Here is a 15,516-nt window from a genome sequence, read left to right on the forward strand (position 1 = left end):
AGTTAATGCCATAATGCAGCACATAATAGCAAGCTAAACTGAGACAAAGTGATATGATACAGGACAAGTCAGGTTGTTTTACATTTCACAATCTTAACTATAAATGTAACAAATCCTACTCAAAATTATTAGACTTGCATCCTAGAACTGAAAGACAAGCAATCAAATGCTGGGATAGACAGGAATGAAGAAATAAGACAAGGGCAAGTTTAAGAAAATAAATTTAAAAAGCTCTTATGTAAGAAAATACAAATGACTTTATGATTTTTTCAAGTCATGTTGTTGGCCCTTCAACAGTGGCTGTTTAGAAAAGACACAATTTCCAAAATATGTCCTAAACAATAAAAAATGTATTCTAGTACTCTCCAGAAAATTTAAAAATCATGATTAAAGAAAGGTGAACCTCTAGATCCTATGGTACGGTTGAACTAAGTTTTCTACTCAGTAGTTTCCTAATTCAAATAGTTTTCTCTTTTGTTGTAACACAGAAAACTATGAACAACAAAGCTTTTTCTTTCAAAGTTTCCAAAAAAAAATGCCAGCTGCTTTTTACAGTTCCCATGAATATTAATTTTCATCCCCAAAGACACACTTTAGTCAATCGGCATAAAAAGAAGGCTTTGCTAATTGAAAAAGGAGAAAAAGAAGATACTCTTTCAGGAATCAAATGTCATCATTTAAACTTTTTACAAAAGGGGAAAGCTATTCTTTTCACATCAATATGAACACTTTAAAACGTTTTTTTAAGAAAACATAACAGCCAAAATTTCAAATATCTACTTTTTTATTGTTTCTATATATTATGTAAAAATATAAAGTATCATTAACACTGTCAAGTCATATTCCTGATTTCTGTCGATAATCCTCCCCTATAATACTAAAAATACAAAAAAGCCTATAGTTCAAAGATTTTTTTTCATGATATAAAGCATAGTGTCAATGTTGAAGGAAAATATTTACTCAAAAATGTATGCAATATCACAATGGCAGCATTTATTCTGTATTGAGACAATGATAAATCACACATACACACATTACATATGCAATCTAGTAAAGTACAAGTTTTTATCTCATGTAAACTTCTATTTCATGCCCATGCCCTTTCATTTGATAGTAGTGTGAACAAAGATACTGATTTTGCAATTAAAAGGTACAGTTTGGACATGGTGAAAAATCAAGTCTATATTGTCTATATCCTTCTTAGACTGTGGTTCCCATAACTGCAAACTTTAAATTGATCTATTACTCTGGACCAGCACAAATCAGAAGATGACAATTATCTCCTTCATTTTGCTAACTACTTGTTGACATTCCTTTTTTTTTTTTTTTTTTTTAAAAGTATCTACATCGAACTGACAATTCATGCTGACTTTACAGCTAAACTACCTATTGGGTTTTTTTTCCGCCTTTAAACAATGCTGATTGTTTATATTTTGTGATTGAATGGGAACCCAAGTGCAGGAAACATATTATCATTGCTAAATTCACCTGGTTGGATTCAATTTACAGTCTCAATCTGTAAAGATATTTTAGTATCCTGACTTCAATAACTAATATATTTGCTATTTCTACTGGTACTGCAAAGAACACTAGAAATAAAACCAAGTTCAAGCTCTTACTCTATCACTTTCTAAGCTGTATTAACTTGGGACAAGTAATTTAGCCTCCAAAGCTCAGTTCTTTCATCTGTAAAACAGAAATGTTACATTTCAACAGAGAATTACTGTAAAACTTAAACAAAAAAATAATGGCAGTAAAAGCACATTATAATTAGTAATGCAAATAACTGCAATAATACAAACCTGCCCAACATTGTATTTGGCTGTGCAGTAAAAATGGATGGGTCTACAACAAATCTAGTGTTATCCACTATTAGTGTCACTCGTTCTGACGTTCTTATATTCCGAGCTCCTTCTTTTGCATTTTCATATACAAACACCATCTCCCCAGCTGTCTTACAGCTACCATCTGAACTTGACTGACTACTGTTTCTGCTGCTGTTCCCAGCACTGCTAATGGAACCATTTGGGGATGCTTTTTGAGGACGCGGACTGCTTGGACGAGAGGAACTGTGATCTTTTTCTCGTTCTGAAATAAAGATGTTAGACGAAGTTATGCAAATTTTCTTTTACAAATTCAAGATTTATATATATCTTTTTAAATGTTTGATTTATAAAAGTTGTTTTAAGTCACAGCATTTCTACTTTTCAATTTCAAATAAGATGTTAACAGAACACCATAAACATTCATTTAGTTCCCAGGAATACAACCCAAAACATCAAAATGCTTTCTAAAATCTTTATTTGTAGACTTTTAAAAAAGATGTATAGCTGACTAATGCTAACCCAAACTAACATCAAGACTAAGGAAAATTTTATGTTATTACTCCACTTAAAAATAGAAACCCAAGGAACCGAATATTCTCACAAGTAAAATAAATATGCTTTGAAAGTTATTACAGTAAAAGATTAATAAGAATACCAATTTAAGCTGTCCTAATTACTAAAAGAGATAACACTATTCTGAGAACACAAAGTACAATCTTTAGAATCTCACTACGTTAATAAGGGCATTCTAAAACCAGCAATTTATCTCAAAAAAAGAAGGTCCCCTTTCCCCCACAAAAAAAGAAAGAAATTCACTAAGGGTAGTAAGAAGTATTTTTTTTTAATGATTTTTATGTCTACCAAATAAAGTGGCTTTAGTAGCTTATAATATATTGTTTTCTTCTCATGTTTGTTGAATAAAGCACTGCTACAAATTTTATGATCTATAATTACAGTCTGTAATTTTCATAGGTAGAAAATATTGTTAAAATTCAGAAAATTTTCTTAAGATGTTCTAATAGTCTACAAAAGAAAAATAAAAACCAAGATTTTGTGATATATTTCATTTAGAGACTAGATCACTAAACTTTAAAGGTGACCTAAAAATGTACCTCCATCTCATCACTTTCATCAGCTTTTGCCAAATTCCTCTATGACTCAAACTACTTAGAACACTCTGTACAGCATTATTGATTGTATAATTAGGTTTGACATATCTCCAGAGATACTCTGACACCTCCCTTTTATTGCCTGTTTCTACAATACTGGTAGCATCCCAAAAGCAAAATTTGCTAAAGCAATATTAATAAAATAATTTATTATATCCTGCTATTCTACTCCCAGACACTGACTTTTGCATGTAACAAACTGTCAACTCTAATTTATACTTTTGTTGATGTCTGGCTTATAAGTACAAGTCTGACTTCAAGGATCAACTGAAACATTGACAACTTCTCTCATAATTAGACCCTAATATTAATGATTCTTATTTACAACAGATTATCAGAAACTATTGCTGCATATACTAAGTCAAAGTTTTAATTTGTCCCTTCTGCAGGGGAAAATAAAAATCAGCAAGCTCACATGCTAAGGCACCTCTTCTTCAGCTGGTGTTTTATAGTTATATGTGTTCACCTGGGGTACTAATGTTCATTTATAATACTGAGTAGGAAGGAAGGTGAGCTAGTTACTAACAAAGTAAAACACATCACACCTTTCATCTATTTTTATTATTAAATTTGAGATAATGCCAAAAATCAGAATAAATAACATGATGGCTATTCTACCTTTCAGGTCCTTTGTTAGCATGATAATAACTAAACTCCTATCAATAATTTACTACAAACTATTGCTATATATTTCATAAGACAAAAATTAAATCGAAAACTTTGAAAATCTATATATCACAGTTTCAAAGGCTTTTCAATTACTTATTTTATAAGACTGTCCCAGAGGTTAAAAATTCATGTTAACTTTGCATTTAATTAGCTGTTTTTTCTTTCACACCAAGAACCAAGCTCAACTAAAACAGAAACAACTGAATAGAAGCAGCTAATTTTACTCTGCAGTATTAGGCACAATTCAATGTCATTACTACTTTAAAAAGGTAAATGCATGTTTTTAAGAACTGTTAGGAAGGTTAGTTGATTTTACATACCAACATGGTGCTGTCGTGTTGGAGAAGTCACATTTCTAATACAAGGAGTGAGCTGAGACTCCGTTCTTTCATGAGATGAATCTCGTGATCTGTCACTTGACCTTCGTCTATCTCTTGATCTCTCATGTCCCCCACTAGCACCATGTAGACTCATTTTGGTGTGGTCAACTCCTCCTTTAGCAATACGCGAGGAAGTACTGATAAGTTAGAAAGGAAAATTAACCATAAAAGCAGAACATAAGATTGGAAACATTTTAAAAGAAACACCCAAGTAACAAAAAACTAGTATCTTGAAGTGCAAAAATCAAATGCTACTTTCTAATTCTGAAACCTAATTTACCTCAAACTTGTAGGCTTTAAAAATTCTGGAATAACGTGTCTTTGAAGATCACATACTTGAACTCAGTTTTTTATGAACGAGAAAACTAAAGCTTAGAAAGGTTAACTAACATATGAGTTAGTAGAAGTTGTAGTAATAATAGTAGTAGATCACTCAGATATCTTAAATGTTATTCAGATGTTCTTTTGATTTCCTTCATTGTAGGGGAAGAAGAGAAGGCAAGAGCTTTTGGAACTCTTAAAAAACTGAGGAATGGGGCAGAGAAATTGGTCTCCCTGCCAAACAAAATAAGTCTACATGCTAACTTCAATCAACCAACTTTCAGTTGAGCCTTTTCAAAACACTATGATTTTTTTTTTAAAGTTTTTCTGAAAAGCATTTCTTAGCCAGGCACAGTGAATCACACCTGTAATCCCAACGCTTTGGGAGGCCAATGCGGGTGAATCGCTTGAGGTCAGGAGTTCGAGACCAGCCTGGCCAACATGGCAAAACCCTGTCTCTACTAAAAACACAAAAATCAGCTGGGTGTGGTGGCACACACCTATAATCCCAGCTACTCAGGAGGCTGGGGCACAAGAATCGTCTGGGAGGCGAAGGTTGCGGTGAGCCGAGATCACGCCACTGCACTCCAGCATGGGCAACAGAGCAAGACTCTGTCTCAGGAAAAAAAAAGAAAAAGAAAAGCATTTCTCTGAAAAACCTAACAAACCTACCTACTCTGACTACATAAAGTCACAGAATTTTTAAAACTTTAAAATATCTTATATATAATAAACTTCTCCACCAGAAGTGAATAACTCAGAATGCTGATTAAAACAGTCCAGCTTACAGAATATTTTAACACAATTATGTATTAAGTTACACATACTACATGCACAATGCTATGCTAAATGCCAACAGAAAGAAGCTTCCTCAGGAGCTTGTTTTCTAAGTGTAGCAATAATAGATAAACATGCAGAACTTTAAACAATTCAAGAGTTATCCCAACTTCCAAATATAAAACTACTAAAGAGTTCCCAAATATGTAACTACTAAATGGGTATCAGATAATAAATGCTTTAGGATTTCAAAGAAAAAAGACATTGCTATAGAGTAGCCACTAGTGTATCACTAGTGTCCAGGCCCTGACAAATAGATAAAATTTCAATAATTAGAGTACACTGCAAATAAGAAAACTGATGATAATAAAAATAATAAAGCCAGACCTAAGGCAATTTGGAAATTTACTGTTAGCATATAATATGGTTCAAAAATATTAAAGTTCTTTTTAGAAACAGAAGGAAGTTCATGGCTTTAGAGTAAAATTGTCCTCTAATGCTTATTGCTTGGCATTTTGAATGATCCTTAATATTCTGGAAACTTAGGTTTCTCATTTGTAAAATGTAGATTCTATTTATTTTCTAAGGTGAATAGGTGAATTAAATGAACTATAATAAGTAAGCTGACCAGCAACGTACCTGGCACGACATAATTACTCATGAAATGTTAGTTTATTTAGTTTATGACAGATGAGGATGTTAAAGTTCAAAACTGCAAGACTTGCTCAGGGTCACACAGCATTTAGTAGAAACGCTAATAACACTATAACCTAAGCCTTTTGAGTCATTCCAGTGCCCCTTTCATAATATTATACTGCTCTCCTTTAGCAAAACCACACGAGTTAAAATCTAATCTTCGTGATTCAGAAAACAAAATCTTTCAGTGTCTCCGGGTCATCTCTTTGGTTGATTTTATTAGCTTTAATATTTTTTGTTATTTTGGTGGTTTCTTTCATTATAAAAATCAGTCATCACCTTGCTATAACAGAATACCAGGACAGAAGATAAAGTTGACTTTGTATTTATCCTGAAAGTTACTTCTAAGGAAATAAAGGCAACCTAACAGCCTTTATCAGTTATTTGTTTCTCATCAACCTACAGAGAAAAATTCTACTCCCACCTTCATTCTAGTGAAAAAAAATTAGAGGACAGCTGCATCAATAGAACATAATCTTTTCTTTCAAACAGATCAAAAGATCCTACTGCATTTATGTTTTTAAAAAATCATTAGAGTAGGAATACTGGAATTTCTGGCTTGTTTTCTAAAGTAGGAAAAAAAGGAATCCACATTAAATAGAACAAAGATCATATATAGAAAAAATAACTCTTCAAATTATTCTGGCAGCTAAGTTTTCATCATTTTCAACTATAAGAAAGCACATTATCTAAATGTGAGTCTGGTAATTTAATGGACAAGGTACAAGCACAACAACGAGTAAGACAAATACAAGCTAAATGTTCAGTTTGAGTAAGGGCCAAGCAGACTGAGTAATTAAAAAAGCGTTTTCACCAGACATCCCTGTAGCTGAAAGACTAGACACTGCTAAAACATTGGCTTCATCTCTAAACCACTTAGATTTTAAACGAATTCAAAAGGTGTCATAATACACTTTCATATTTTCTTTTAATTCCCATATAGACTGAACCCTGAATCAGACCTTCAAAATCAGATGTCATGGAAGACAAATTATGTCCTACTATATTTAATTCAATACTTTCAGATTAAGAAATCACTTTAAAGGCAAAAATAGTTAATATGTACAAAAGAAAATGAGGATGAGCAAGTTCAGAGGGGAAAGCTCTGTTTCAGGCTGCATTGAAGAGTTTGAAATTCATGAACTAAGGATAGGTAAGGACATGAAGACTGGATTAGCCCTAATATCTATTTCCAGCCAAGATAGAATAACAAGGGCTGAGTTCATACTCTTGTCTGAAACAACCCAAGAAACCAAACGGAATATAGGAAACAACAGTCTGCAAGACACGGCACATCAGGCAATGAAAGAGAGCAATCATTGAAAAATGGAAAGCGAATGAGATATGCCCAACAATTGTCCCAAATTACTATCTTGAGAGCATTTGCAAAGTAAACACAGAAAGGGGAAACACAAGCAGAACCCAGTGGACTCTGAGTGAAAGACATGGAGCTGAGACATTGGGATAAGAGATGGCTAGAGTTCTAAGGGAAAAGTACCAGAGAGGAGAGTGTAACACAGAGAGAAAACCTCAGAAATTTGCAGAGTCCTCCTTGAGTACTGAGCTGGATACCAGTCACACATGTGAGGACACTATGAAAAGAAGCTGGGGAAAAAAAACAGCTCAAAGGATTAGAGGAAATAGTGCCCAGCACTCATACAGGGTCAGGAATAGGTCCTGTTCCCACTGGTTCAGACTGGAAAGCCTAATAATTTATAGGGCACTGGGAAGAGAATTAGAAGGTTCTAAAATGGGAAATAATTACAACTAGACTGAGCACTGTTCCAGTTCCCCTAATAAATTTTAACATCAAGACCAAAAGGACCACACTGTTTCCCTATAGCTAAATCCTAAAGCAAAGCTCAAGAATATTTATAAGAAATATCAAACACACAAATGAGGTAAAATTTACAATGTATGGCATCCAATCAAAAATTATCAGGCATGCAAAGAAGTGAGAACACATAACCCATGAGGAAAAAAAACATCAAGTGAAATAAAACGTGAACTGACACATACGTTAGAATGAGAAATAAAAACATTAAAAAGTCACTATAACCACAGCCCTCCAAAAAGCAATGTAGAGACATACCAGATTAAAAAAATGCAAATCAAGCTTCCAGAGATAAAAATGTTTACATGTGAGATGAAAAGTATACTAAATGGCCCTTTAAAATGACTATAGTTAACAATAACTTATTATATATTACCAAATGGTTAGAAGAGAGAACTTTGAATGTTCCTGACATTTTTAAAAAATGATAAATGTTTGAGGTGATATACTAATCACCCTGAGTTGCTCACTACACACTGTATACATGTATTGAAATATCACTCAGTACCTCTAAATATGTATAATTATTACATGTTACATGTCAATTAAAAATAACTTTAAAAAAGAAAAGCACACCGAATGGAATTAATGGGAGATTACACATTATAGAAGAAATGATTAACAAATTTGAAGACAACGCAATAGGAAATATTCAAAATAAAAAAGAGAAAACAGAAAAATAAACAGCATGAGTAAGCTGCAGGTTCATTTCAAGTGGCCTAATATAGGTGTAAATGGAGTCCATGAAGGAAGTGGGAAGGAAAAAAGGGAAGTAATATCTGAACTTTCTCCAAATTTGGCAAAAATTACAAACCCACAGATTCAATATGCACAACAAACTCTACAAACACTTTAAAGAAAAAAAATGAAAACAAACCCTGTCAACCTAGGTTTTTCACAGCCAGTAAAAACATCTTTCAAAAATAAGAAGGATCTGCATTGATTTGTCGAAAAAAAATAAGAAAGTACAGACATTTTCAGGCAAAAAAAGACACATGAATTCATCATGAGAAGACCTGCATTGCAAGAAAAGTTAAAAGGGAGTCCTTCAGGCAGAAAAAAAAGCTAATGCCAGATAAAATATGAATCTACACAAAAAAATGAAGACTACTAGAAAAAGTAACTGCATGGAAGAATATAATTTTTTTCTAATTGTTTAAATCTCTATAAAAGATTAAACAATAATGATAATAATATAATATGGGGTTTATAACATATACATATAACTAGAGTAGCACAAAGTCTGGGAGAAAGAAATGCAAGTATACTTTTGTAAGGTTTTTACACCACACAAGAAACAGTATAACATCACTTGAAGGTATACTGTGATAAGTTAAAGATGTATACTGTTAATACTAAAGCAACCACTAATATAAGAAAACAAAAGAAATACAGTTAATATACCAAAAAAGGAGATAAAATAAAATCATAAAAAAGGATTTGGCTAATCCAAGAAGGCAAAGGAAAAAAGGGGTTGGGAGGAAGAAGGAAAAGGAACAAATGGGACAAACGGAAAATAAATAACAGGACAAGACTTAACCTTAACCATGTCAATAATCACATTAAATACAGATAGCCTTAGCCATTTAGATGTAAACTGTCTAAACCATAAAAGGTGAAGATTATCAGATTGGATATAAAAGCTAGATCCCCAGCCTGGCAGATCACTTGAGCCCAGGAGTTCGAGACCAGCCTTTGGCAACGTGGCAAAGCCTCATCTCTACAAAAAATACAAAAATTAGCTGGGTGTGGTGGCACATGCCTGTGGTCCCAGCTACTCAGGAGGCTGAGGTGGGAGGATCACTTGAGCCTCGGAGGTCAAGGCTGCAGTGAGCGGAGATCGCACCACTGCACTACAGCCTGGGCAACAGAGGGAGACCCTGTCTTAAAATAATAATAATAATAATAAGCCAGGTCCAACTATATGCTATATGGTACAAAGAGATTCAATATAAAAGAATGAGGAAAGATACACTATGCTAGCACTAGTTCAAAGAAAGCAAGAGTGGCTATATTAATATCAGACAAAGCAGAGTTCAGAACAAAGAATATCACCAATGTATTTCATAAAGATAAGGGGGTTAATTTATTAAGTGCACATAACAATCCAAATGTTTCTCTGCCTCATGAGAGAGCTTCAAAATACAGGAAGCAAAAACTGATAAAACTATGAGAACTAGACAATTCCACAATTATCATCAGAGATTTCATCACCTCTCTCACAATATTTAACAGAAAAACTACACAGAAAATCAGTAGGGATTGATGAGATTTGAATAACATTATCAACTGACTTGATCTCATTGACATTTACAAAACACCCAAAAAGGGCAGAAAACTCATGCTTTTCATGTGCACACAGAAGAACATTTCTCAAGATAGATCATATTTTGGGCAATAAAACAAGTATCAATAAACTTAAAAGAATTTAATCATACAAAGTATGTTCTCTGATTACAATGGAATTAAAGTAAAATTCAATAACAGAGATACCTAGAAAATTCCCAAATACTTGGAAATTAAATAATATCTTTACCTAAACAACTTACAGAGCAATAAATAAATCAAAAAGGAAATTAGAAAAGTTTGAACTAAAAGAAAGTGGAAAAAACCCCAAGATACCATAATTTGTGGCATGGTATGACATTGTAACAGTACTTAGGGGCAAATTATGGCATTAAATTCCTACATTAGAAAAGAAGAAAGGTCTAAGAAAAATGACATCAGTCAATAAAATTGTTAAACCTCTACCCAGACTGCTTGGGACAAAAATCGAGAAGATACAAACTACCAATGTCAGAAATAAGAGAGGCTACAGATACTAAAATAATAATAAAAGAATATTATAAACAACTTTAAGCCAATAAATTCAACAACTCAGAATGGACAAATTTAAACCTACAAAAAAGCTCACTTAAGAAAAGGTTGAATAGCTCTGTTTACTGAAGAAATTTAATTTGTAGTTTAAAACATTCCTTCCAAGAAAACTCTAGGCTCATATGGCTTCACTGACAAATTCTACCAAGCATTTAAGATAGAAATAATATCACCCCTACACAGCTCTTCCAGAAAATTGATGAGAAGATAGTATTTCCCAACTCATTCTATGAGACCAACATTGCCCAGACACCAATATCTAGAAAATTCCCAAACACTTGGAAATGAAATAATACCTTTACCTAAACAACTCACAGAGCAATAAAGAAATCAAAAAGGAAATTAGAAAATTTTGAACTAAAAGAAAGTGGAAAAAAATATTACAAGAAAATAAAACCACAAATCTTAGAACACAAATATCAATATTCTAAACAAAATTTTAACACATCAAATCCAGCAATACATAAAAAAAGAATAGTAATCAAAGACCAAATGCTCTCCATCTAAAATCAGAAATAAGAATCAGAAATAAGAATGTCTACTGTCACTTTTCTTCAACAATGTACTGAGGATTATAGCCAGTGCAATATGGCAAGAAAAGACATTCAGATTGATTAAGATGTAAAACTGTCTTTATTTGCAGAAAACATGATCATCTATTGTAGGCTCTAGTAAGAAAAAAAGGTTACTAGAACCAATGAGTTCAGCAAGGTTGCAGAATACAAAATCAGTATTTTAAAATGAACTTTATTTCTATATACCAACAATACGCAACCTAAAATTGAAATTTTAAAAACACTACTTACAAATAACACCAAAACCTGAAATACTTAGGGATAAATATGACAAAAGATGTGAAAAACTCACACATTGGCAAAACCTGAAATACTTAGGGATAAATATGACAAAAGATGTGAAAAACTCACACATTGGAAATTATAAAACATTACTGAAATTAAGAAGACCTAAACAAATGGAGAAACCTACCGTCTTTACAAGTCAATTTTCTCCCTAAGTTCATCTACTAGATACAACATAATCCCAATGGAAAACCAAGTAGGCTTGCTTGTCAAGAGTGACAAGCTGATTCCAAAATTCATATGAATACGCAAATGACCTAGAATAGCCTAAATAATTTTTTTAAAAGAACAGTTGGAAGACTAACATGATCTGATTTCAAGACATATTAAAAAACTGTAGTAATGAGTAAAGTGTGCTACTGGCATAATGACAGGCACATAGATCAATGAATCAGAATGAAGACTCCAGAAAAGAACTCACATACATATATATGGACAACTCATTTTCAACAAGGGCTCAAACACAATTCAGGGAAGAAAGAGTTTTTCATCAAATGGTGCTGGAACAAATGAATATACAATAGGTATTTCACTTTCAGCAATTCTAGAGAAAAAAAAAAAAGAACTCTGTGCAATAGTTCCCATCATATGCAAAAGTTAACTCAAAATGGACCACACACCTAAATCTGAAACTTAAAACTACAGAACTTCTAGAAATAAAAAGCCTAATGCATAAAAGAGCAAACCGACAACTGAACTTCATCAAAATTAAAAACTTTTGATCTTCAAAAAACAGTGTTAAGAGAATGAAAAGAGGCTGTGCGCAGTGATTCAAGCCTGTAATCCCAGCACCTTGCGAGGTTGAGGTGGGAGGATGGCTTGAGCCCAGGAGTTCAAGACCAGCCTGGGCAACATAGTGAGACCATTTCTACAAAAAAATTTTTTAAAAATTAGCCAGGAGTGGTGGCAGGCATCTGTGGTTCCGGCTACTTGAGAGGCTGAGGTGGGAGTATTGCTTGAGCCCAGAAGTTTGAGGTTGCAGTGAGTCATGGTCATCATGCTACTGCACTCTAGCCTGGGCAACGAAGCAAGACACTGTTTCAAAAAAATAAATAAATAATAGAGACTAAAAACACAAGCTTCAGACTGGGAGAAAATATTTGCAAATCATGTATCTGATAGAGGACTGATATGTAAACTATATAAAGAACTCTCAAAATAATGGGTAAAAAATTTGAGATATGCAGATGAAAAATAAGTACATGAAATGATAGCGTCACTTGTCATTAAAGAAATGCAAATTAAAATGACACTGTTACATCATTACACATTAGAGTGGCTAAATAAAAAGACTGACTATATCAAGCATTGATGAGTACATGTATGAAATGGAACTCTCATACACTTGTGGTAGGAATGGAAAATGGTACAACCATTTTAGAAACTGTTTCGGAGAAGAGATTGTTTCTTAAGAAATTAAACATACTCTAGCCATATGATTCAGCCATTCCATTATGTATTTACCCAAAAGAAATGAAGACATTATCCATAAAAAAAATTTGTAAACAAACATTCTTAGCAGCTTTATTTGTAACAGCTCAAAACTGGAAAAAACCTAAATGTTTATGAACAAGTGAGAGGATAAACAATTTGCGATATATCCATACAATGGAATACTACTCAACATAAAAAAGAATGATTTACTGACACAAGTTACGACATGAATCAATCTCAAAATAATTACACTGAATAAAAGAAGCCAGATCTCTCTCCACCACAAAAAATAAATTATATAAAATTCTAGGAAACATAGAGTACTGTATAGAGCGACAGAAAACATATTGGTGGTTTCACAAGAAAGGGGTATAGGAGTTCAAAGGGAAGGGTTACAAAGGGCACCAAAGAAGCTTTTGAGTGTGATGTATATGCTCATTATCCTAATTATGGTAAGGTTTTATGGAGATACATACACACACACACACACACACACACACACAGATATATATATATAGCAAATTGTACACCAGAATTGACCTCTTGGCCAAAACACAGCTGCCTGAGAATACCAAAATAGAAAACAACTACTTAGCCATTTTAATTACACTTAAGTAATAAAAGTCATGCCTTTCTTCTTCTAATAGTCCTTTCTTTTCACACTTTTCTTAGCAGAGTGCACTAAATTCCTTCTCTTACCAATCTACATAGATTTTTGCATCCTCTTGTTGTAATATGGTCCATGGTCTCAAGAAACCAAAAGCACTTCTACAATCAGATTAAAAACATCTACCATCACCAACTGATCACCACTTGAAAACTTCACAAACCAACATATACTACCCAGTAAACTTACCACAAAAGCCCAAATTAGAACCCTTAATCATGATCCTCTGAGATCACAATTTTCTTCAACTAAGGAATATCAATCACTTCCAAGCACCTCTAGTTACATAAACAAATCCACCTTAAACACAAAAGAAAATATTTCCATTTTTAAATTTTGCAGCTTTATGACTTAATAATGCTTCTGTTTTCTTTAATACCAACTTTTCACTTTGTTTCAAAATCATGCTTTGAAGCATAAGGTGAATCAACAGGCAGTAAAGTTTCTAAAAACTTTTAAATCTTATTAAAATGGTCACTCTCAGAAGCAAATATCTATTGCTTCTTGGCCTTTTGGCTAAGATCAAGTGTAGAAGCAAATATCTATTCACATCAAACTTTAGAATGCAAATCTGGTATGAACTTCTGCATATGATTTTGTCACCTAATTTGTTTAAAAATTCTAATTACAGCAACAGTTTTCAATGGCAGGCAGGTTCCTAAGAACTGAAGAAAAACATCAGGGCCTTGTTTTGTTCAATGAAACTAGAGACTCCTACAAGGGGAAAAAGTTTATAATACTAATTAATACGTACAGAGTTTTTAAAATCCAACAGTACTGCAAAGTTTATAACAAAATCCAAGCCATTTTTTGAATGGGTAAACTGTAGTACAGCCATACCATAGAATATTATTCAGCAATTAAAAAAAAAACTATTGATATCTGCAACAAATGTGAATGGATCCAAAAGCATTTCGCTGAATGAAAAAACCCAAACCCAAAAGTTTATATGCTATATGATTCCACTTATATAATGTTCTCAAAATGACAAACTTACAGGGATACAGAACCAAATTAGGGGTTGCCAGAGGTCAGAGTTGGAGAGAGGGTGTAACTATAAAGGGGTAGCATAAGAGAATTTCTTTGTGGTGATAGAAGAGTTCTATATCCTGATTGTGGTGGGAGTTACATGAATCTATACATACAATAAAATATCACAGAACCATGTAATAAAAAAAAGATAAAGTGCATGTAAAAACTGATAAAATACAAGAAAGGTCAATAATTTAGTTATTAGTATTGTACTCACGTCAGTTTCCTGGTTCTCATAATGTACTAAAGTTATGTAAGATGTTATCATTGAAGGAGGCTGAGTAGAGTACCTGGGAACTCACTGTACGATTTTTTGTGACATCTTGTAAATCTAAAATTATTTCATAATGAAAATAATTCATATTTTCATTGAATTATATAACAAAAGGAGCAATAAAGTGGAGACAAAAAAACACACAAAACTGTAATAAATTCAGTAACATAAAAAATGTATCCATAAAATAAGGACAGGAATGCTGCAATTTTAAAAAAATTAAAGAATAAGAAAAAGTTCTGAGAAATGCAAAATAATAGCAGAAATTTTTACAAAGTTACTAGAAGGGTTGAAAGAAAATACTGAATATATCCTTAAAAGAACAAAAATGCAAAGAAATGGAAAATAAGACAGCATTAAAAAAGAGAACTAATGAAGGAGGTCAACATTCAATTAATATCTGTTCTAGAGAGAACAGAGAAAATAGAGGGGAGCACATTTTCAAGGAAATAATATAAGAAAAATTTCCAGAAGTAGCTGATATAAGTAGCACTCATATCAGAAAACTGTTGACAAATACACAAAACTGTAATATAAAAAACTATATATAGCTCTGTAAAAAACTATATGTCTCCATAAAAGGCTATATATATGTTTTTGTCCATGTTTCCTGGCTCGTAACTCCTACTGCCCTTGTTATAATGTTGGGGGCACTTTAGGCCTCAGAAAACAGAATCTCTCTCTCTGACCTTCACCTGCC

At 32.9% G+C, this 15,516-nt stretch overlaps 1 protein-coding gene and 1 pseudogene across 15 annotated transcripts in view; one reads left to right on the plus strand and one right to left on the minus strand.

The window, feature by feature from the left end:
• BTBD10 (BTB domain containing 10) overlaps positions 1–15,516 on the minus strand; it is a 75,215-nt gene that overhangs the window by 29,650 nt on the left and 30,049 nt on the right. For all 15 annotated transcript variants that reach the window (XM_017018410.2, XM_024448713.2, XM_024448712.2 and 12 more), the window contains 2 exons: positions 3,985–4,181; positions 1,803–2,088 (listed from right to left, as the gene is read on the minus strand). In XM_017018410.2, the coding sequence (XP_016873899.1) occupies positions 1,803–2,088; positions 3,985–4,138 (440 nt within the window). In that variant the 5' untranslated portion in view covers positions 4,139–4,181. The remainder of the gene's footprint in view (positions 1–1,802; positions 2,089–3,984; positions 4,182–15,516) is intronic.
• On the plus strand, positions 14,007–14,152 carry LOC124902846 (uncharacterized; annotated as a pseudogene).

The sequence above is a fragment of the Homo sapiens genome, chromosome 11 (assembly GCF_000001405.40).
Source record: "Homo sapiens chromosome 11, GRCh38.p14 Primary Assembly".
Lineage (NCBI taxonomy): Eukaryota > Metazoa > Chordata > Mammalia > Primates > Hominidae > Homo > Homo sapiens.